The sequence below is a fragment of the Homo sapiens genome, chromosome 2 (genome assembly GCF_000001405.40).
Source record: "Homo sapiens chromosome 2, GRCh38.p14 Primary Assembly".
Lineage (NCBI taxonomy): Eukaryota > Metazoa > Chordata > Mammalia > Primates > Hominidae > Homo > Homo sapiens.
The window spans coordinates 104,486,486-104,510,593 of NC_000002.12; the positions used below are offsets into that span (position 1 = coordinate 104,486,486).

The 24,108-nt window shown below is 38.2% G+C and overlaps 2 long non-coding RNA genes across 2 annotated transcripts in view; one reads left to right on the plus strand and one right to left on the minus strand.

Moving 5' to 3' along the window:
* The window catches only part of LINC01102 (long intergenic non-protein coding RNA 1102), a 78,411-nt gene that overhangs the window by 52,139 nt on the left and 2,164 nt on the right, over positions 1–24,108 (plus strand). Inside the window, exons 2-3 of the long non-coding RNA NR_015399.1 lie at positions 19,381–19,818; positions 20,747–20,921. This is a non-coding gene — a long non-coding RNA (long intergenic non-protein coding RNA 1102). The remainder of the gene's footprint in view (positions 1–19,380; positions 19,819–20,746; positions 20,922–24,108) is intronic.
* LINC01103 (long intergenic non-protein coding RNA 1103) lies at positions 1,971–24,024 on the minus strand. Its single transcript, NR_110113.1, has 6 exons — positions 23,848–24,024; positions 18,383–18,703; positions 14,331–14,455; positions 11,588–11,718; positions 3,146–3,306; positions 1,971–2,514 (listed from the first exon to the last, which is right to left on the minus strand). It is a non-coding gene; the product is annotated as a long intergenic non-protein coding RNA 1103 (long non-coding RNA).

The following is a 24,108-nucleotide window of genomic DNA, read 5'->3' on the forward strand; positions in this document are numbered from 1 at the left end:
CAAAGTGTCTACCATGATCCATGAGGTCCACGTGATTCGGCTCCCCCCATGTCTTCAGTTTTCCCAGGCTGTCTCTCCTCTCCTCTTTCCAGCGACACTGAGCTCCTGGCTGTTCCACAGGCATCGGGGGCACGTTCCCACCTCAGGGCTTTTGCACTCTGTTCTTTCCACCTAGAATGCTTTTCCCCCAGAGATCCCCAGCTCTCACTCTCTCACTTCCTTCAAGTCTCTGCTAAAATATTACCTTACCCAAGAAGCCCTCTCTGACAGCTCAGAATAAAAGCAACACCCTCAGCACTCTCCACCCGTTCACTGTTCTGTAGTTTTTAACATTCCTATACCACTTGACTTCGTTATATTTATTTATTTGTTTACATCTATCAGTAGACAATGACCTCCTCGAAAGCTAAGGATTTTTCTATTGTATTCACAGAAAAGTGCCTGGTTTAAGCAAAATAGTTTTTAATAAATGAACACTATCTTTCTGAAAACACTTTTACTAAAAGAAAATGTATTCGCTTCCTGGGGTAATAAATACTTCATCAAAATTAGCACATAATTCCTACCTCATATCATACACAGAAATTCACCCAAAATGTATCAAAGGCCTAAATGAAAGAGTTAAAACTATAAAGCTGTTAGACAAAAACACAGGAGTAAATCTTTGTGACCTCTGATTGGGCAGTGGTTTCTAAGATATGGTACCAAAAGCACAAACAATAGATATGGTACGAAGAGCACAAAGAAAAATAGATCAAATTTACCTGATGAAAATTTAAAACTTTTATGTTTCGAAGGACATCTTCAAGAAAGCAAAGAGACAACAGAATAAATGGGAGAAAATATTTGCCAATCACGTATCTGATAAGAGACATATCTAGACTATAGAGATAGTGTGAAGAATTGTTACAATTCTACAACAAAAAGGTTAGTAACCCAATTTAAAAATAAGCTAAGGATCTGAATAAACATTTCTCCAAAGAAGATATATAAGTGGCCAATAAGCACATGAAAAGATGCTCAGCGTCATTAGTCATTAGGGAAATGCAAGTCAAAACCACAATGAGACACCATTTCACAACCACTAGAAATAGCTATAATAAAAAAGACAGATAATAACAAATGCTGGAGGATGTGGAGAAATTGAAGCCTTCGTAAACTGCTGGTAGAGATGTAAAATGATGCGGCAACTTTGGAAAATAGTTTGGCAGTTCCCCAACACGTTAAACAAATAATCCAGCAATTCTACTCCTAGGTATCTATTCAAAAGAAATGAAAACATATGTCCACACAAACACTTGGGCAGGAACGTTCTTAGCCGCTTTATTCTTAATAGCAAAAAAAGTTGAAACAATGCAAACGCTCATCAATGGGTGAATGGATAAATAAAATCCACTTAACGGATTGTTATTCAGCAATAAAAAAGAAGTATTGACACATGCTACAGTGTGTATAAATCTTTAAAACATTATGCTGTGTGAAAGAAACTGGTTTTGAAAGACCAGATATTATATGGTTTCATTTTTATGAAATGTCCATAATAGGTAAATCTATAGAGACAGAAAATGGATTAGTGACTGCCTAGGGCTGTTGAGGCAGGGAGACTGGAGAAGATGGCTAAAGAGTACAGAGTTTTCTTTGGGGGCTAGGAAAATGTTCTGAAATTGTGGTGACGGTTGCATAACTCTGTGAATGTATCTATTTATGAGTTTCCTAGCTTATTGCATTTCTCAGAATGCGAGTCTCATGAGAGTAAGCACTTTATCCTCTTCACTGCTGCTCCCAGAGAGCCTACAATAGTGCCTGGCACATAGTAGGCACTCAATAAACATGTATTAAATACATCCTAGGGGACAGCATTGTTATAAAGACTAGAAACCAACGATGTCCGCAGAGCATATAACAGGCACCTGGAATATGAACCCACAGTAAAAGCAAAATTTGAATACTTCTTGAACAGAATAAATATCTTAGATTGAATCATTTTATTCATTGGCAAAAACAGTTTTTGTAAAGAGATTTCTTTGATAACTGAGAGTTTGCTGTGTTATTAAATGTTTTAATGAAGTGTCCTCTCATAGAAATTGTTGTATCTAAACACACTGGAGCCTCATCTTAATTTTAACTTTGCTAATTAAGTTATACAAAAAGATTTGCAGACAGGATTTCAACGAAGACCAACAGCAGTTCCTGCTTGGTACACAGTATACATTTGATTCTTCTTATACTTTTTAATGATTTTGTAGATAACCAGGCAAATCATGCTGATTGTATAATCCAGTGCTAATAATTATCTTCATGGAATTTATAGTCAATTTTCTAAGGAATCCAGCTATCAGAGAAACATCTGTTTGTCCCTCTTCTGTGATTTGTTTCTTGCTTTTAATTCACTACTGAAACCAAAATGCCATTTAAACTACTTTTTATTCAAAATTCCACATTGCTCATGCAATGGGATATTGGGCTGTCTCACCTAATGTAATTCTACAAAGCTATTTATAGCTGCTGCAGTATCTGAAAGACATAAAAATGGTTATTCCCGGGAGTCTGCCTTGAAAAAACAAACACTAAGATAGCTGGTAAAGTTTGGGAATTGACCACAAGGTCAAAATACAAATATATTTAACACCTAAAGTATCCCACACAATCCTTTATTGAGTTCAGAATTTTTTTAATGAATTTCTCAGTAATCCCCAAACTCGAGTCATTTGAATCACATTTCCTTATTTTACAGCAAGTATTTGCACTGCTCCATTTTGTTCCAGGCAAAAGTAAATTTTTTCCCCTTCCCTCTGTAAAAGGGCTCTTCAAAAAACTATGTAGACATCACACAAAAGAGAATCAACAATAAACTCCATGTAATTACTGTTAACCAAATAGGTCATTAATTGTTGGAAGTAATGTATGTTTTAAAAATCTATATTTACATTTAAAAAATATTTTGCAAGTGTGACCAGGCTTTTTGAAAGGTACTTGTTTTTCTATATTAAATGTACAATAATTGAGAGCGACATAATCAAAAACATCTTCATGGCTTGTAATAAAAAACTGAATATTTCCAATAAAATGGCTGTGTCGAAAGCTAGTTATGTTTTGGTTTTCTGCTCTCTTGCTAGGGTTGTCATGCTAAAGGAAATATATTTACCTGGGCTCTGGGAAGTGGTGGTCTGGCCAGTGGCCCCGGTGGTGGCTGCAGTTGCATGAATGGTGTTTACACTGTAGTGATGGTGTCTGCGTCACCTCCAGCGGACAAGCTCTACCCACACCCAGATTCATCAACAACGGCTGTGGTTCTTCTGGAAGGATCTAGAGAGGAAAACAGGGAAAAGGAGGAAGCTCAAAACAGAAATGAATATTAATCCACATCCAAAGATTTAAAATAATAATGTAAAAACCAGTGTGGGAATCCAAAGTCCTACTCAGACTTTCTCCTATTTAGCTATTTTCCACTTATTCAAGCAACATTCAAATGAGAATCAGAGAAGCTCCAATTTAAGTCACTTCAGCTTTGTAAATACCAGGAACAGATGGAATAGAATACCTAGAACCCTTAGTCTTCCTTCCCAGCTTGGCAAAAGATCACATGCTCCTGTGACCAAAATTATATTCTAAATTTTGACCTATTGTGAGAGACTATCTAGCTCTTTAAAATATTAAGAATTATACCTTGTCTACTGCACATTTGCTACAATGCTCTCAATTGAATCTGATGATACTTCAATTTGAAAGTACTATTAAGTCATGGGCAAGCATCCTTTCTTTAGATTTAATATTCTGCAACCACACTCTGTCTCTTCTGCTTGGAGACCAGAGTCCTCTGAGTCCCAAAAAGGATTTCAGTTCACGTCTTTCTTGCAATGTTTGCAAGATTTCTCTGACCCTTTCCTAAAATGATTTGCACCCATACTCCAGCTTTAAATGAAGGCACTGCTAAACCCGTGCTTCATTTCCTTTTCCATCCTAGTGCCCAACAGCGATTTAATCTCTAATCCCTCTGTCTCAGTGGTTCTACCAGGTGGAGGAGGACTTGAGTTGGCCTATGTTCACCATCCTAAGGTTCACCACACTGAGGTTCTCCACTACCCAATGGCAGCTCCTTACCTCAACAAGGGAAGTTTATTCCCCCAGCCGTGACCCCGGCACCTCTCCACACCATGTATCCTGTCTAGTGAGTGAGTTGCCTTGTCTTCTAATGTGAATACTCCTCTCCTGCACCTTAGAAAAAACTTCTGCATTTTGTTCCTTGTTCATTTTCATTGTACATGCTTTTTATCGCCTTCTCTACTGCCCTACAACTAAGCAAGGAGAGTTAAACTATAACAACAATAAAAAATAAAATTGGAAAGAGAATTACTTCTTCCTTCCACTCATAGAAATTGAACATCAAAATCGCAGGGATTTCAGGAGAAAAAAAAAAGTTAATCTCATAGAATGTATTGATGTCAGGGGTGTGCAGGGAAGTGGAGAGGATAGATGCCCCCATCCTCTGACCTTCAAGGTCGTAGTTATTCCAAATTCTAAAAATATATACTCACCTGAACAGTTTGTGTTTAACCACTAAAATTATGCAATGTTCCTCTTTAACTGTAATCATGAATTTTGCCACAAATTCTTTTTTGTCTGAAGTAAATGTTGTTGTAATAATTAGATCTATTTCTGTTCTTTTATTTCCAATATTTCTATATGATTTTGTTTCATATAAGCAGAAGATAGCTTTAAAAAAAAAATTCACTCTGGCCAGGCACGGTGGCTTACGCCTGTAGTCCCAGCACTTTGGGAGGCCAAGGTGGGCAGATCCCCAGAGGTCAGGAGTTCGAGACCAGCCTGGACAACATGGCGAAACCCCATCTCTACTAAAAATATAAAAAAATAGCCAGGCATGATGGCAGGCATGTGTAATCCCAGCTATTCGGGAGGCTGAGGCAGGAGAATCACTTGAACTCGAGAGGCAGAGGTTGCAGTGAGCCAAGATAAGGCCACTGCACTCCAGCCTAAGCGACAGAGCAAGACTCTGTCTCAAAAAAAAAAAAATTCATCTGCTAGTGTCAATCTTGTAATAAATGGGTTTAATTTATAACATTTATTGCAATTTCTGATATATTTGGAACTAGTTTTACTGCAATTCTTTTCTTTGTACCTTTTTTCTTTACTTCTAATGCTAATTTGTTTGATAAAGCTTTCTATATTTCTCTTTTAAATTAACCTCAGAATATTAACTACAAATGTTTCTGATAAGATCAATGGTTATTTGATGTCTCTATTTCCTTTCTGAAAAAGACAGGGGACTTAGCTCACGTTAACTACACACTGAACAACAATCTGTTTTACATTAAAGGGTGTTCTGACACACAAAGGGTGTTTGTCAATTACATTATCAGTTTTACTATTATTTTTTTCCATCCAACTCCTCTCAATTTTATTTTTCTTCTTGGAGAAGTCATTAGGAATTTTTCTCAATGAGGTGTGTAAGTATTAAACCCTATCTTCACACTTCTGAATTTTAAAAAATATTTCTCTTTTTATTGATTAATAAATTAGCTGGTTATAGAATTCAGGGTTGATAGCACTGAAGAAATTCAGCCTTTGTCTTCTGGTATCATTTATTGCCAGTGAGAAGCCAACTGTCGAACTTAAGTTAAAGTATCTTTCCTTTCTGGTGGTCTCTTTTATGTGATTCTGTTTCACTGTGATATCTCTAAATGAAGATTTATTTTCTCCTTATTTTAAAATTTTTGGTTTTGTTTTTTGGAAGGGCATTTTTAATCTAAGGACACATCTCTTTAATCAATGCTGAAAAAATTTTAGCAGTCATTTTATCTAATATTACTTCACCATTTCTTCTTTTTTCCTTTTCTGGAAGTCCTGATTGACCTACTTTAGAGCCTTTTGACCTATCTTCTATAAGTTCATAAATTTACATTTATATAAATTTAAATAAATTTATATAAATGTAAATATATATATTTTCTTCACAGTAAATTAATTATAGAAATATAGAGAGAATATCTATCTACCTATCTCTCTATATGTATGTATATATATACATGTATGTATGGGTACATAGAAATAGATGATAGATGATAGATAGATAGATAGATAGATAGATAGATAGATAGATAGATGATACAAAGATAGGAGTAATCTGAATGAAATCCTCAGTACTATCTCTCAATTTTATATTTCCTTGTGAACGTGTCCAATATAGAATTTACTTCAATATAGTATTTTTTTTGTGAATTACTACTTTTTTTCCCAAGATTTCCAACTTGTTATTTTACACAAATACATTTTGTTTAACTTCTGTCTTTTGTAATGTATTATTCTTGTTACACATGTTGTTCTTTCATTTTATTATGATTCATAAGCATACTGAAATCTTTTCCAGCATAGTCCTATTATTATGATTTTTATCTATTGTGAATTTATATTTGGATTGTTGGTGTCTTGGCTGTCTTTCTCAGCACTAGGATTCTGGTTTTTTTCTGGTTTGTTTGTTGTTTGCTTGAGACAGGTCTCACTCTGTTACCCTGGCTGGAGTGCAACTGTGCAATCACAGCTCACTGGAATCTTGACCTCCCAGGCTCAAATGATCCTCCCACCTCAGCCTCCGAAGTAGCTGGAACTACAGGTGCCCACCACCATGCCAGACTAAAATTTTATTTTTTGTGGTGATGTGGTCTCACGATGTTGCCCAGGCTGATCTCAAACTCCTGAACTCAAACAATCCTCAGGCCTTGGCTTCCCAAAATGCTGGGATTACAGGCACGAACCACTGTGCCTGGCCTAGAATTCTTTAACACAGTTCGAAATTTTGATTTGTAGCATCATGTGTAAAATATTTGATTTTATTGTGTGCAGTTCACCCCCTTTCTTGCTCTTTCTTAGTGTAGAGCATTTTTTTTTTTTTTGGCGTTCTAAGTGACATCCCTGTAACCTTGACTCCAGGACCAGTGTTACAGTGGTCACAGGAGCTTCTTGCCTTGCAATGATATTTGAAATACACTTTTCAGGGAATAGCTTCTCCTGGTTCTTGATACTAGAATGGTACCAATGTCTTCTTTCTTTTTGGGCACATAGCTTCGCAAGACCATAGTCCCTGAGAGTAGCAGGGACCAGGTTTTTCCCTTTTCTTTCACCAACCTGGGAGGTCCACTCTAGACCTTTTTCAAGCAGTAATCCCAATTTTCCGCCCCTAATTTGCTTGAAGTATCTTTGGGCCCTGTTAACTACAGTAGCAAAATTTTGTTCATTCTTACACACTTTAGACTTGAAGTCCAATAGGAATCCCAATTAGCCTGAGAACTTTGCAATTGTGTTTCTTTGCTGGTCTGCTAGGAGACTTATCCTGTTATTGAGCAATATTCTCTCTGAGTTTTGTTTTTTTTTTTTCTATCACTGATAGACATTTGTTTGTCTGGCTTCAGTGACACAGGAGTTCAGAGTAGCAGCTCTGGAGTCAGGTTGTTTCAGTTCAAATATCAGCTTAATCACACACCACCTACATGAACCTGGGAAAATTACTCAATCTCTGTTTATCTCACCTTCCTCAACTATAAAATGGAAATAATTATTGCTGCAAGATTAAATGAGATGACACATACAAAGCGCTAAAACACCGTAAGTGGTCATTGCATGCTAGTTGTGATATTGAGAACACAATTAGGTAACAGTCTTGACACAGAAGTTTGATAGCATAGAATTTCAGTCATAAAAAAGAAAGAAATTCCGTCACTTGTGGCAACATGGATGAACCTGCAGAATGTTATGTTAAATGAAATAAGTCAGGCACAAAAAAACAAGTACACTATTTCATTCATATGTGGAATCTAAAGAATTTGCTCTCATAGAAGTGGAGAGTAGGATGGTGGTTCCCAGAGGCTGGGAAGGATAAGGTGGAAGAGGGCATGCGGAGACACTGGCCAGTGGTACAAAGTTATAGTTAGAGAGGAGGAATAACTTCGGGTGTTCTATCAGTTCTATTGCACAGTAGGGTAGGGTGATGATAGTTAACAATAATGTATATTTCAAAATAGCTAGAAGAGAGGATTTTGAATGTTCTCACCACAAATAAATAATAAATATATGAGGTGATGGATATGTTAAATACCCTGATTTGAATTTTTATACAGTATATACATGTATTGAAACATCACACTGCACCCCATAAATATTTACAATGATTATGTGTCAATTAAAAACAAAAATAAAAGAAGAATTTGTTAAGGAAAGCACAAAAGAAAGCAAGTACCAGAGGAAAAAGGATTAGTTTTCTGATATTAATTTTTCCATTTTTTCCTAATGCATATATCCCTACATAGTTTTTTCTTCCATACTGCCAATGCTAGCAATTTTTATAGACTGGTAGATCATTTTGTAGATACTTTCTATGTAATCTGATTTTCTTGTTTAGCAATATATTATGAGCTCTTTCCTAATAGACTAAAATAAGACTAAAATAGTTGTTTTCACTATTGTTAATAACACTGTTTGAATATTTGGGGACATACAATCAGGGCATTTGAGGTAATATTCTTCTGAAAGTGACATAACAGGATCTGTTTCAGGACTTATGAAACATACTGACAAAATTGTCTTACAAAACATTTTCCACTTTATATTTCTACATTTTAACTTCAAATTCTCCCATCTCAAAATATCTTGAGATGGGAGTAAATCTTGAGATCAACAAAATGAAAATATAAGCAAAAGGAAAAATAAAACCCTGAGGAGTTAGCACTGTTGAAATCAGTAATGCTATTTCCCATTCCTGCCTATAGTTGCAGAAATACAACAATGCTGGAGTAGTACTTAACAGCAATAAATCTATTTTCACATGAAGAGGAAAAATTGTTTCATAATTAATTAAGATGTGAAATTTCTCCACTTTTCAAATTAAGAACGTAGTGCGGCTTTGTCCAATAGAACTTTGTGTAATGATGGAACTGTTTTACATTTATGCTGTCTAGCATGGTAACCACATGTAGCTAGTGAGCAGTTAAGACATGGCCAATGCTACTGAATTGTTTGTTATATTTAATTTTAAATAATTAAAATTTAATCAGCCACATGTGTCTAATGCCTACCATCCTGAACAGCTCAGCAGACTCAGAGTGTTAATGAAACAAGCAAGAAATTAACATCAACAAGAGGTAGAAGTCATTTTGTATAAGATAATGGATCTTTTAATGTATCTTAATAAGTCAAATAAATAATCAAATGATTTGTGATATAAAACAATACTTAACCATTCTTCAATGTACCATGTCTCCCCAAAAAATACTTTCTTCCCCCAAAATACTACATAGCATTTATACTGCTGCTCTTTCTGAACTATATCTTTAGGAACAAGAAGAAATAATGAAAAAGCAAAATGATAAAGTGGATTTATTAAGAGATTACACATTTCATCCTGTAGGTTATGTAATAATATGACTCCCAAGTCAGGATAAAACTCACTTATAGTATAGTTGATTTATTACGGTAAATATGTATATAAAGTAGACTCACAGTTTACTTAGAGGTTAAGACTTTAGCTCAAGTGAAAAACAAGATAATCTAAAGCACCTTGAAAAAAGGTTCTTTACATCCTCTATAAAATAATGTATGGTACTAACTTTCAATAAATTTACCACAGACCACATTTTCCTGCCAGATTGGAATAAATTATCACTTCTGAGGCTCTAGCTGTCTTCTGTTGAAACAGCATGCTGTGGGAATAGCATATCTGGATGGAAACTCACCAGAATCCCACTCGGAGGAGAGGTGTCCATGCTCTGGAGCCACAGGAACTGTGGACATTTGAAGAGCAACGGTCTTAGGCCCCCTCATTCCACTCAGCCCATGGCAATACCATCAAGTGGCAGGCAGACGGGGGCTTTGTCCCATTTCAGTTCTCTCTCTCTCTCTCAATTTCTCTCAGAATTCATGAAGTTGAATTCCAGCAAGTTGTATGTTCATGCAATACTCCATTATAATGTATTTGGAGAAAAGTAATATCAATAGAAATGGATAAAAACTAAAGTCTTTGGCCCTAATTATGTACATTTCAGTTACCCAGAAAATTCAAACCTTCTTTTTTTTTTTAACCATACTGGTAATTAAGGTTTTAGACTATTCTTGAAATCACAAGAAAAATAGAGTAAGAATGTTAGCTCATCTCTGAGCACAATAACCATCTACAAAAAGACTGATCGATTGGAAGTGTGTCCTAATTAAGGTGTCAACACAATTTGTCCACCATAGTCGGGCTCCAGAGTCCATCTACTGTGACACATCTCCCTTCTCTATCTGTGTCTATTTTGGTGCCTTATCGGAGTTATCTGAATGATGCAGTTACTTCTGCGCTATAGCAGAAATAAATAAAAGCATTGACTAGCATTATACGTCTGCTTAGGGGGAGTCCTGATTTAAAATAAAATAATTCCAAATATGTTAGGCAAGAGGATAGAACACAACCAAATCTATAATTTCATTATGTTTAACTCATTCTAAATAATAGTATATGATATTTATTTTTTTAACTTTCATATAAATACTTTTCTCTCTTTGACCTACTCATCCTTCAATTTTTCATTATGGAACTCAGAGCGATAATACTAATAGGACCAAAATGTACTAAGTACTTAACATAACTTACAAGGTCATGATCTTGACCTTCAGAAAAATATCTATACTCTTCACGTGTAAGTTCTTTTGAATCCTATGTTGAACCCTCTAACAAAAATACTTTTCTACATTGACTAGAACTGGTTGCTTCTATATTATTTGATAAGAAGACTTGTGTTTTTACTTCAGGATGAGGTAATTTTTTCATTTCGAATTATTATTTGATTTTCTTCCCATATCATTCCATTTTGAACCAACAAATAAGCAAATTGCCTTGTTTATTAATATTACCTAAAGACCTGGGTCCACTGCTTGTGTGTTTCTCCATTCCACCCATGCTGTTGACTTATCCCTTGTAAAGCAATTTCATAATTCTCAACTCTTCTTTGTTTCTTCTGATTAGTGTTTGTGCTTTCCCATCTCTCTAGTGTGGGATTGCCATTGTACCACATTTGACACATGTTGCTTTCATTTATCCTGTCATCATCCATAGTCTGAGAACTGATATATTTAGAGAATTGCTTTTTTACTGTTTGCCTGCCTTCTTCCCACAAGTCTTCTGCAATATGATTTTCTCTCCCCTGCAGTCAGAATACAGTGAGTAATCACAAAAGACCCTTCTGGAATCAGTACTGTTCCTCTCACTGATCCTCTGGAGAGTTTCTGGCTCTAAAGGAAATGCCTGATTGCGATCCCAGTTTGTTCCGACCATCATATGGTCCGCGCTTTTGTACACAGACTGAGGCTGCAGATGGGAGGACAAAGCTTCATATTAATGTGGACCCTGTAGCAGTTTTTGAATCATGTTGGACGTTTTGCAAAGTCAAGTATACCTTTACTTCTAAGTCCTTTTTCCTAAGCACCCAAAATGTGTTTTGATGTATTACCATCTTTGTCTCCTACTTTCCTAACCTTCTATTTGAGGGGAGAGTAAGGGGTAATATGTATTTATGAATAACACATACATATTTGTGTATCCCACCTTAACTGAAAAAATTGGGATCGTTTCTCTTCCACATCCCTTTTCTGTTGAAGTCATCTAGTAAGATGATTTTGCCACAGGAGGCCCCCAAAATTGTCAGTTGATCCAATGGATATACTTTTGAATTCTCACTATAAACCAAGCCGTGGAGATAAAACAGCACATGGTTACTACATGAAGTCATTCACAGACATGTCACAGGCTGGGAATGACACAAGGAATGCTGGAGTCAAAAACCACCGTCAATATTTTTCAGTAAGCATTAAAGGATCAAGAGTCAAGCCCATAGACATAAGTTAGAGGGCGTCTACTAACTAATCCTCTCTCTCCCATACCTCTTAGCAATCAAGTTGATAAGGATTCTAGTATCGTTAGAAGAAAATCAGTTAGAAAAGAATCCAAGTCCACAAATAGCATGGCTAGCTAAGCAAGCCCATCTTCCAAGTCCACAAATAGCATGGCTAGCTAGCTAAGTGTCCTTAGACCTTAGTATCTGTACCAAAAAAAAATGCAACCAAACCTTATATTTATATTATCACTGTTGCTCTTTCTGGGAATTACAGCTCAACCAAACAACTTCCTATCTCTGTAGCCTCTGGTAATTTACTTAATCGCTCAGAATTGGTTTTCTCATAGACTTGCTACAAAGATTAAATGAGATAGTCCTTATGATAGGCCCAGAGTAAGAGCTCGATAAGTGAGTATTGTTCTTGCTGATGCTGCTGATAATAGTGATGGTGGTTTGACATCTTCTACATGAGCAAAGTAACCCTGTGGGGAGGACCAGAAGTTGAAAAGTATACACTGACAGTGGGCTTTTTGTGCCTTGTCACCAACAACTCAGAAGAACTTGGTGCTTTGCCTGGCAGCACAGAGGGTCAAACGTGAAACTGTGCCAGGAGCTGGAAGGCTCAGGTGGAGGTAGAAGAGGACCAGAAGGCAGATTTGGGCAAGGGAGTGTAATTTAAAGCCAGGTGAGGACAGCAGACTTCCCTAGAGATGAGAGAGTCTTGGCTGGCTGATGGCATCTCTGCTTATATCCTGGTCCCCTAGAGTTCCTCACCAAAGCATGGATCCCAGGCCCAAACTCAACCTGGGTGGTCAGAGGAGTGCAGGGCCTCTCCCTTCATTCCTTGGGCCCAAGAAGAGGGGAGGAGCTTTTACTGAGGCTGAGAGGACTGGTGGCATCTTCTACCCAGGTGTGAACTTTATAACAAATATGTTGTTTAGATTAGGTGGCTAAATGATTCTGGGTTTCCCTAGCTCCATGTTGAGAATGTGTCAGACCACTCATAACTGGCAGGTATCTGAGTAACAGTCCTCAAGAAGGAGCAGATATTATTGTGCACATTGAGCAAAAAGGGCTGTGAAGGGCAGCTGTGTTAAACCATTCGCCTCTGGTCCTGCAATTAGTCCTCCACAGAGCTGGGTCTGGGCCGAGGTCATCGTAAGCCCTTCTTCTGATCTTTCCTGTGGCGACTACTGTCACTTCTTTAATTAAAGCTTGCAATAATTTTTCCTAGCCTAACGATAAGAAAAACAATCATTCAGAAGCCAATAAAATAGGGGAAGCCAAGTCAAGAGGATGGTAACTATTTAAATATCAGCCATATTTAGATATTTTAAATCAAGTAATATGCTAGCAAAACATTCTCTATGCATGCCTTAATTAAGCAAAGATGCAGGGAGGCTATAAAATCCTACAACTTGCAGTCCACTTTTACTTGAATAAACAAAAAGCTCTTATTAGCCAAGTTTCCTTAGTCAAGAAGCAGAAGCGTCATGTCAATGAAGTTAACTGTTAAGAACAAAGTATTTTAACTTCACGTTGTCATTCAGGAAAGAATTTTGAGTACTCTTTTTAAAAAAATTGGCAGTTGTCATTTAATATATGATGTGATCTAAAAGCATATTATTTTTTAATGTTACCTAGGAGATTTCATCAGCTTCATGACACTCTTAATCTTTGGTATAATTGTCTAAATTGATAGAACATCTTTTATTTAACTGATGGAGGCACTGCCTGCCCTTTTATAAGTCAAGTAAACAGGTCTCTGAGTTCTCACTTCCTTTGTCTCGCTTTAAAAAAAAAAAAAACAAAAAAAAAACCTTCCTAAAACTCTCTGATGATGATAAAAGTGGAATTGTTTTAAAAGATAAGAAGCACCCAAATTATTTTCTCTCTGACCTTTGTAGTTTCCAGGACAAGCAGCTTCTGTGAGCAAAATTGTTCAAGTTTTTTCTTACAATGGATACCTGACATTGTTCCCTAAGAAAAACATACTGTTCCTGATAAGGAAAGTTATTAAGCCCTCATCTTTGCTCAGAAAACAATTTAACAAAAATAAAGTTGGGGAGTATTTTAATATTTCTGAGAAAAAGTTTGAAAGAAAGGACTGAAAAATACAATAGATTACATTATCTGTAGGTGCCCATGTAGTTTTATACACTGTGCCTTATTGAAACAATCTAAGATAGGTTTCAAGGATAATTCTTGGCAGCCTTTTGATACGAGCAGAACATTTACATAGCTAAAGTTTAATGCGTTAAAAGTTTTGTAAAAAGAATTATTAGGAGAGTGAAGCAGAAAAATCACACAGTTAAAATTTTATATATCATATGTTAATCATGCTTAAACCTCTGAAACTGGCTATTTCTTAAATTGAGGAGCTCAGTTTCAGATGCCATCTCATTCTAAACTTAAACATGTTTTTGGTTTAAAAAAAAAAAAGTTACCAGTTACCAGTTGTTCAGAGAGGCAGCATGCATTCAAAGGCTAATTCACTGGTGATGAGCTCCCATTATCATTTTTTTCTGGGGTTTCAAAACAAACAAGCATGATCTATGTATCCTTGCAGGTTGCAAAGTCTGTAACAACAGTATGACACTATTGTCATCAATTCTTAACGAACTATGAACTAAATAGCTATGAAGGCAAAGCGATCATAAAACCTCTTCCCTTTACCAAAGAAGTGGGTATTGCTTTTGCAGTGGTTTCTTGCCCCAGCTGGAGGTACGGTATATAGTCAGGGAAAAGGCATGAAGTATATTAGAGCCACATAAAAAGAAGCATACATTTACAAATAATAAGATTCATTAAGGAAAATAATAGAACAGGCAGTAATAGTCATTAACTCTAGAATTCATAACTCTTCTGATTTCTCATTCACAGTAAGCTTTGTGGTATGCTACAGTTTTTAATAGTCTAGCAGCTTTTTTTATTCTTTTTTTAAAAGATGATTGGCTTTGAATGCTAGAATATGCAAATATACATAAAAGACTGACTTTACTGACCATTTCTTTGTGTTTGGGTATATATTTCTGTATGGCATAATATTTCCACTTGCACTGGTTTCCTGGCATGAAAATGTTTATTGCGCTCATTAGCTAAGAGGGTATCGGCACCGGTCCAATGAACACAGATCTGCCTTCTGATTTCAGCCATTAAATTGCAATGGGATTCACAGGCTTAACATTGTGGGTGTGAGAATAGTAAAATGGAACTCCATCCTTAGCCCAGTTACCATGGATGCAGTTAAAGGTCATAGTGGCAGCTGCTAACTAGTTGCCTTTTGAGCTGTGTTTCCCCTCCTGCTCTGTGTTTTCGAGCACTTTCTATGGGTCTGCCGTGGAATACCTTCACCTACTTTGGTGACACGCTAACCTCTTCTTTAAGGCAACGGGCTCCCTCTTTTCAAGACAATGGTTGCCATGGACCTTCTCTTGTATTTATGTGTCATGGATATGATATAGAATCAGAAGGCAAAAGCCTTAATAAAAATACAAATTGTGGTTGCTTCTGCATCCTGAATTACTTTCTCATTTTCTGCACACCGGTCTACATTCCCAACCAAAAAAAAAAAAAAAAAGTGTATAGTAAATTCTCATCTCCGTTTAAACTGGTAATGGGTTCAGGCACTGATGCATTCACAACGTGAAACATCAACGTCTTCTTCATTCGGCCCAAAGTCCTAGGAGTTAATTCCCTGTACTGCATGAGGTGTCAGGGTAATTACCGCTGATCAGCCCTATTTCTCCGCGCGCTGCCCGCTCCTCGGGCCCCCTGTTTACTGATGCACCACCACAGCATCACGGCGCTTTCATTCAAGCAAGCTTCTTCATCGAAAGGGTTTGGACAATGTCGGATTTTCAAAGAGAAGTGGGGGGGAAAAAATTAAAAGTAGCCAAGCAAAATAAAGTGCATGGTAAGAAACCTGAAAGCAGTACAAAATATTCCCTGATGTCAACACTTCATTTCAATAGATCTTAAAACTCCTATTCATTTCCAATGAAGGTACTGTGAGCCTTGCCATGGGCAACATAACTGCATGATCATATTTTGAAATATTTGGGGACCACATAGCTTTAAAACGCCATTTTGGAAAAACATATTCCTTTTTGTTCTGTTTAGAAATAAGTCCCAACCATGTAGCTATATACGCCAGAATACCAAAAAGAAAAAAAAAAAAACCTTACCAAAAAAATGTTGTACCCCTCTGTTTTAAACATACATTTATATAACTTGTCATTTCATAAAAATAAATTAAGTATTATATGAGCCAAATGTTTCAATTCCACACAAGAGTGGTTTCTGGGACTCTTGGCAGGATGCCACTATATTCATTTTTATTTCAGACACAATGTGAAGTCTTTAATTTTAATATACTTTGTAACTATAATGGTTATAAGGCATATACTGTACTAATTCATCCTCATCCTTTCCTAGTCCTGGGGAGATTTCACTGAGGAACAGGAAGAGTTGTTGATTTCATGTCTCTTTCGGACTTTAAAATGTTGTTGAAGAGTGGCCTGGGGTGCAGGGAAAGCAGAAAGAGAGAGAACTGGTCATTGGGCAGTCTGGGCTCCGTGCCCTAAATGCTGGCTGTAGAGTTGGCTATCATCCTTCCTGGTCCCTGGTCCCTGGTCTCCGAGTTCAAGTGATGGCCAAGTAGAAAGGCAAAGAGTGGAAGACTTTGCTGCCGCCTGGGGCTCTTCCCCAGCTCCTGAGTTCCTGCTCTGGCAGCAATTCAGCTGAAACAAGAAGAGTATTGGCGAGTCAGCGGATGGGAGCCTCTCTGTCACTGCCCCATGTGATAGCAGCGTGGGCACTGGCCAAATTCTTCTCCACAGCTCCTTTATTCTCTGAATCCCCACTGGCCAGGAGTCAGAGAACCAAGCAGGGACAAGAACACTGTAGGAGAATCTGGCCCCATTTAATCCGCAGTACCCTGCCAGAAAAAGAAGGAGAGGCTGATCCCCAGTAAGAGGGAACAGAGTGGCACCCACAAATACGTATGTAAATCAATTAATCCCCAGTGATCGTCCTGAGGTTTCCTGGTGACCTCAGAAGCAGAGTGGTATTTCTTCATTAAAGGGGCTGGGTGGAGGTGGGGAGAGAGAGAAGTAATTTTCATAATCTGTACGACTGTATTATTGGGAACACCAGAATAACATGTTTCAAGCGATCACAGAGACTTCAGCTCTACTCTTCCTCTGCCACACTCCTAATCAGAGAATTTCTTCCTGTGCCTTGTTTACTGTTGATATTTTCTGGCTGATTGGAGAGGAATGACATTTTGACAATTTACTGTAGCAGTAAGCACTGTACAAACAAAAGGTGCTGATGAAAACTGGAACCCATTATTATGTAAATGATGGCTGAGTAACACAGAATCCATCTCCCAGTCACCATCATTGAGACCAGTTTTACTCAATGATAATAATTTTCGTGATTGCAGACTTCAGAGTGATCAGAAATATGCTTTAGCTGTTGCATTTATCTACTGCTGGTACTTGACCCTTAATTAAATTCTGAAACTTTTTTATATAATAAAGTAAAATACAGCTGACACTTCTGTTCAAACAAAGAGGCTCAAACACAGATCCACCAAATAAGATAAAGGTATTTCAGACTTACCTCGCTGTATTTATAGTAAACATGGATTGTACAGTGTATTTTGAAAGGGAGCTTAAAGTTTAAAATGCAGATGTGTGTTTTCAAGTAATTTCAATTCTGTACTTCGGCTCTGCTCTCCTTAAATGATGCTGAATCTCTGCAAGCTCATCTTGGACACGTCATAATAAAAAAAAATCTGCTTAAAAGACATTTAAATGTGCTCTGAAAATAAGTTCTGTGGGTTCTTTAAACTTTCCATCTTAATATCTAGACTATTCAAAGTGAGTCTTCAAAACTATGCCACTTATGAAGATCCACACAGCTTAGTAAGCTATTGCATCGAGTTTTGTAAAGGAATATTTTCGTCATAAATTTGTTCTTGTCTTAAAAAGAGAAAGCCAAGGCAAATTTTAAAGCAGCATTTTGACTTTAATGAAAAATTGATTGGCTAAAACAGATGTCAGACTGAAACTACAAAGAGCCCAGGCATTATGCAGGTATCAGTTGCTTTGTTAAGAATGGCTGACAGTGAGGAGACTTTGGCTAATGTGTTCTTATTCCCTTTAAACCCTGCCAATGCTCCAGAGCATTTATTTACCTTGGAGTTTCCTCCCTCTTTCAGGGCAGGAAGAAAGATCTTCATTTAGAATATATTAATAAATACAAGTCAGCTTAAAGGGGCAACAGTGTGAGCCCGGTTTTTAATATTTCCTTAGATATAACCCTTTCTAACCAGGCAGCTCACAGAGCCAATGAGCTAAGAAGGTAATTACTTAAGTGGATTTCATGAAGAGTAGAAAGATGATTGTGCCACATTAAATAACAATTGTGTCCTTAATGATGTGTTGGGCTATAATGCAAACATCCCTCCACCATCACAGGCAGGCGCTCCAGCGTACCTTTCTAATGACTCCGGTGGCTCCCGTCCCCCTGCCAGGACGTGGGGCTTTCAGAGCCTATGTAAACACTAAGTGAGCTGGTATATTTTTTTAAACTGCAGTGCCTGCAGCTGCGTGGTCATTGATAAATTGGCTATGAATTGCTGAAATACTTCATATGAATATAAACATTGTTGTAGTTTTGCAGCTTTAAGAAAAACAGAAATGTACTTGACTTGAGAGAGAAGTCTGCAGTTCCAGAGTACAGCCTTCCAGAAAGTTCCTTCTTTGTTGTGTGTGAAGGATCTATTTTCACAAAATCCAGCGAGGTGGACTCAAAAACTGTGAGGGGGTGGGAATGCGGTAGAGAAAATTCATTATTTTAAAAACTTAAAGATTGAATAAAATGTAAGTTAGCGTTTAAGTATCTATCTTAAATAGAAGCAGGAAATAATATTACAGCATATTAGATTTTATTGCTTCAGAATGTGTAGTATTCTGAATGTCCATGTCCACTTGACTTTGTGTAGAAACATTAAAGAAAGGCCACCATAATAAATATATCCAACACCTGAGTTAGGATTCACATTAGCTGCCACCTAACCTTAGAGGAAGAATTTTCACAGTGATGTAAACTTGAGAGATGAAAAGGATAATTAGTCCATGACTATAAATTTTCCTGTCTGCCCTTGGATGTTGTTATAATGACTATTTCCCCCATAGCCCACATTGGTATCTCTTTGTGGACATGCATGCTGAATCTCTAGTCATTTACTCTCTGATGTTAACATTAACAAATTTGAATTTGAGAGACATGATACAAATAAAATGCACAGTCCAAATGTTGAGAAAGTACTTTACACTAAATCCTAGCCAGTTCTTTAGTATTGTACCCATTTCAGAGAACAGAGAAATAAGATACCTAAAATTGGAAAACTCTTACGAATCTTGACTGTAACCTATATTGTGGGAATTGAAATGAACAGATCTCTTACCACTTTTTTGTTTGTTTTATTTAGGGAATGAAGACATTTGGAGAAGAAGCGTTTACTGAAAGGAGATTCCTGGGCTGGAGGAAAACCATGATCTACAGTTCATGTTGACAGATATTGTATTTTTGGTCCTAGATCTGACTTTTGAAATGACTTATCACAAATTCAAATTTAGCAATCATGAGTGAAGTACCCACGATGTGCTAAGCATCTACCTCTGCAGATAGAAGAACACTTACTGTTCCTGAGCATGGGAGGGAATAGAAGTTCCTGGGTCCTGGCCTCACCTCATCAGGCACTGCCAAATTTGACACCTCCTTCCTGTTCACGGCAGTCCTTTGCGATAGGGTATTAGATGCCACCAAGTAGCTGCATAACTCACCCATTTGGTCAGAGCCTGGGTCTAAGCCAGGTCTGACAGACTCCAAAGCAAGCCCTGTTTACAGCATGACTGGGATCCAGTGGGTAAGACCAACCTGTCAATGCCCAAGTGCAGATGCAATAATAGTGCTTCAACTGATTGTTGCAAACCCCTCATGAGGGATGCCAAATCCCAGTGCAGATGGTAACACAGGCTATTTTTCACCTCCAACCTCTAATATCCTTTCTTTCTTTCTTTCCTTTTTTTTTTTTTTTTTTTTTTTTTGAGATAGAGTCTCCTCTGTCACCCAGGCTGGAGTGCAACAGCACGATCCCAGCTCACTGCAACCTCCACCTCCTGAGTTCAAGCGTTTCTCTCGCCTCAGCCTCCCGAGTAGCTGGGATTACAGGCACCCGCCATCATGTCCAGCTAATTTTTGTATATTTGTAGAGACGGGGTTTCACCATGTTGGCCAGACTGGTCTTGAACTCCTGACCTCAGGTGATCTGCCCGCCTCAGCCTCCCAAAGTGCTAGGATTACAAGTGTGAGCCACCACGCCCGGCCCCAATATTCTTTCTTACTAGACACTGTGTAAGCTAATTATTCAGCAAGTATTTTGCACTGAACTCTAAATAGGTAAGTATTTTGTGTCCATTTTACAGACAAGAGAAATAAAATAGGTAAAGTATTTCCCCAAAGCTATGATAAATGAATCCCATAGCTAGAAATGGCAGAAAACCCATGGAAACTTCTATGGGGAGTGGATGTCTGCCTTACCTTGGCACAATGCTTGGTTCTCAGATATCATTTCAGTGACATTGCCAAATGGGAGAAACCATGTCTGGTACACGGGACTCAAGCTGCCTCAAAATATCCTGAATGCATTTTTTCAGGGGAGAAAATCCATTTGAATAAGAATAGCTAGTTATAGCTTATTATGTGCCAGACACTATTCAAAGTGTTTAATGTGTATTAACTTCTCAAAACCACTCTATAAGTTAGGTACTATGATTTCCATCTCCATTTTACAGACGAGGGAACTGAGCTGTCAAAACTAAGTGACTTGATTGAGGCCATGCAGCTGGCGAGGGGAGGACCAGGATCTGAACCCAACTGGGTCTCCCAAGCCTGGGCCACTGAACCATTTCACCTCTTGGAAAAACTTAATGGTCAGAGTGGCCCACCCAGTCCATGGACAGCATGGAGGTAATGAACTTTAATCAGAAACTTATTGTGCATTGACTGAGCATTTATTCTTTTAAGACAATATGTTTGGATGTCTTTGGTTGTACAGAATTCAAATTATTAATAATGTTCACAAAAGTTGCCCTGTATTTTTATGCTGAAATACAACAAAATGTCAACTTGGTTCCAGTGACCTTTATACCGTACATATTATGTTTATTGTAGTTCTGTATTGTAGCTAAATTTATTATCTAACTTGTTGATGCCAATAAGCTGATGCATATGAAAGGTACCTGCAAAAAAATTATCATATCAAAACACTTCAGAAGAAGCCATAAAAGTATTATGATAAAATATCAGAGGAAGATATAAAATTGGGGGGAGGTGAAGTTATACTTTGCAGCATTTGCTCACGATATTTGAGAGAGTAAACTTTTCTGTCTTTTAAATGATTTCTGAATTTCTCTAACAGTGCTGCTCTGTTTTCTCGGTCAACCTTGCTGGATAGCCCAGTTTTCCTTTGCAGTCTGCAGAGCATGTGGCAGGACTATAGGCCTGTTTTATCTCTTTCTCACATAGCCCTCTGACCAAGAATCTGCGGAGGTCATCCCTCACCTCCAGAGTTGGTCTTGTCCCTAGCACCCACGTGTGCTCTGTGGCTCAGAATGGTCTACAGGATCTTCCAAATCCAAGCACAGGGTAAAGGTTTGCAGTTTATATTTTTAATTTTTAGTACATGTTTACTGAGCTACCGAAGTGTGCCCAGCACTGTGCACACGCTGATCCCTCCATGGAGCATGGTTGGAAATTCCCAGAGCAGCCCCTTTCTCTGAACACAGTGTGACACAACTCGCTGGCTGTTAGCCCCCGCAAGCCAAACGTGACGAAGGCACCTTCAAGACTCTAACAAGAGCCCTGGGCTCCCATTGCATACATGACATCAAAGGCATTTTCTTTTTCTTTTTCTTTTTTTTTTTTTTTTTTTTTGAGAAAGAGTCTTGCTGTGTCGTCCAGGCTGGAGTGCAGTGGCACAATCTCAGCTTACTGCAACCTCCGCCTCCCAGGTTGAAGCGATTCTCCTGCCTCAGCCTCCCTAGTAGCTGGGACTACAGGCACATGCCACCATGCCTGGCTAATTTTTTGTATTTTTAGTAGAGAGGGGGTTTCACCGTGTTAGCCAGGATGGTCTCGATCTCCTGACCTCTTGATCCGCCCGCCTTGGCCTCCAAAAGTGCTGGGATTACAGGAACGAGCCACCACGACCGGCCTATTTTCTTACACAATAGTTCTACTGGGGCTCCCCAGGCTGCAGACACAGAACCTGAGCTTATGGGGCAGGAGACTGAGTGAGGATACCTATGGGGACCCACATGGAGGAAGGGATGGGAACAAGGCAGGACTGGGAGGGAGAAGCCGGACTCAACAGAGTCCAGCTGACCTTGGGGAGCTCTGAAGATAAAAGCCCTTCAATGTGGTCTCCAGTTGAGGCAAGGGGGTCAGGTCTTTATTCCCCTACACTAACCAAAGGCTAATACAGAATTCCTTAGGAAGAGGCATGACCTTGGGCTAGGCTGCTCTCTCCAGCCAGGGACATTTTTGGAAGAGGCTGGCAGCTGATCTGCTACCGCCATGCCCAGCAGCTGATGGAAGGAGTGTTTTGAGTCCTAACGAGATGTGGAGAGCCCAACGCAATATCCACTAAACTCTCCATGTCTTATCTTAAACCTAGAATCGTGTGCCATCTATATTATTAAAATAGAAAGCAAAGAAATCCAGAGAATTAGCAACTCTCAAAAAAGACAGGATCTCAGAGGTACCCAAGGTTAGTGTCCCCGAACGTAGATACTACTCCTACAATGCCCTAGCAGTGAATCATCTCTTTGTACACCTTGAGAGACAGCAGCTCACCACTGGGAACCTCTAGTTGTGATGTGGTTTTTACTTATATCTTCTAGGTGGAAATTGCACTTTGATAACAGTAACTGTATTGACAAATTACGGTCGGTGTATTGAAACTGGAAAAGAGTTAGTATGGTTGTGCAAAATAATTTGGACCTAGGACTGAAATAATGGAGCAGATATTAATCATTTCCTTTAACTTATTTTACAAGATGTTTTCCACTAAGTAGTCAGAATAATCTTTTTTAATGAAAGTCAGATTAAATTTTTTTAGACTCAAAGCTCTCCACAATTGGAAAGTAGCTCATACTACTCACTATGGCCTACGAGCCCCTCTGGTCTGGAGCCTGACCCCAGGTCAGCCCTCATCTCCCACCCACCACTCAGCCTTCAGCCCCTTTGCCACTGCCACGTGGGCCTTTCTGGTGCTCTCCAGATGCCCCCACCTCGTTCTGCTACAGGACTTTGCACTTGATGGGAAGCCTGGCTTGGTGCTCTCCTTCAAGACCTTTGTAAGCTTCCATTCAAATGCCAAGTTTTCAGAAGGGCTTCCCTGCCACACCCCATCTCAGAAGAGCTCCTGAGTCTCTTGACCCCTTGTGCTGCTTGCTTTCTTTTCACAGTTCTTATTAATTTCTAATAAGATTTATACGTGCATGTTTGCGTGCATGTGTTACAAATATATACACTCTTATATACATATACACATACATATATATACATACAGACATGTATACATATACACATATATACCTATACACATATATGCATATTCACATATGTATTGTATCTAGTTGACCTTTGAACAATGAAAAGGTTAGGGCCACTAACCCTCCTCAGCCAAAAAGCCACCTACAACTTTTGACTCCCCAAAAACTTAGCTACTAATAGCCTGCTGTTGGCCAGAAACCTTGCTAGTAACATATATAGTCAATCAACACATATTTTGTGTGTTATATGCACTATATATTGTATCTTACAATAATAAAAGCTAGAGAAAAAGAAAATGTTGTTAAGAAAATCATAAGGACAAGAAAATAACATTTACCATTCATTAAGTGGAAGAGGATCATCATAAAGGTCTTCATCTTTGTAGTCTTCACGTTGAGTAGGCTGCTTGGGAGGAGGAAGAAGAGGAGTGGGTCTTGCTATCTCACGGGTGGCAGAGATGGAAGAAAATCCATCTATAAGTGGACCCATAAACTTCAAACCTGTGATGCTCAAGGGTCAACTCTGTAATAAAAAATGTGCGTGTATGCGCATGTTCTCACTCATAGGTGGGAACTGAACAATGAGAACACATGGACAC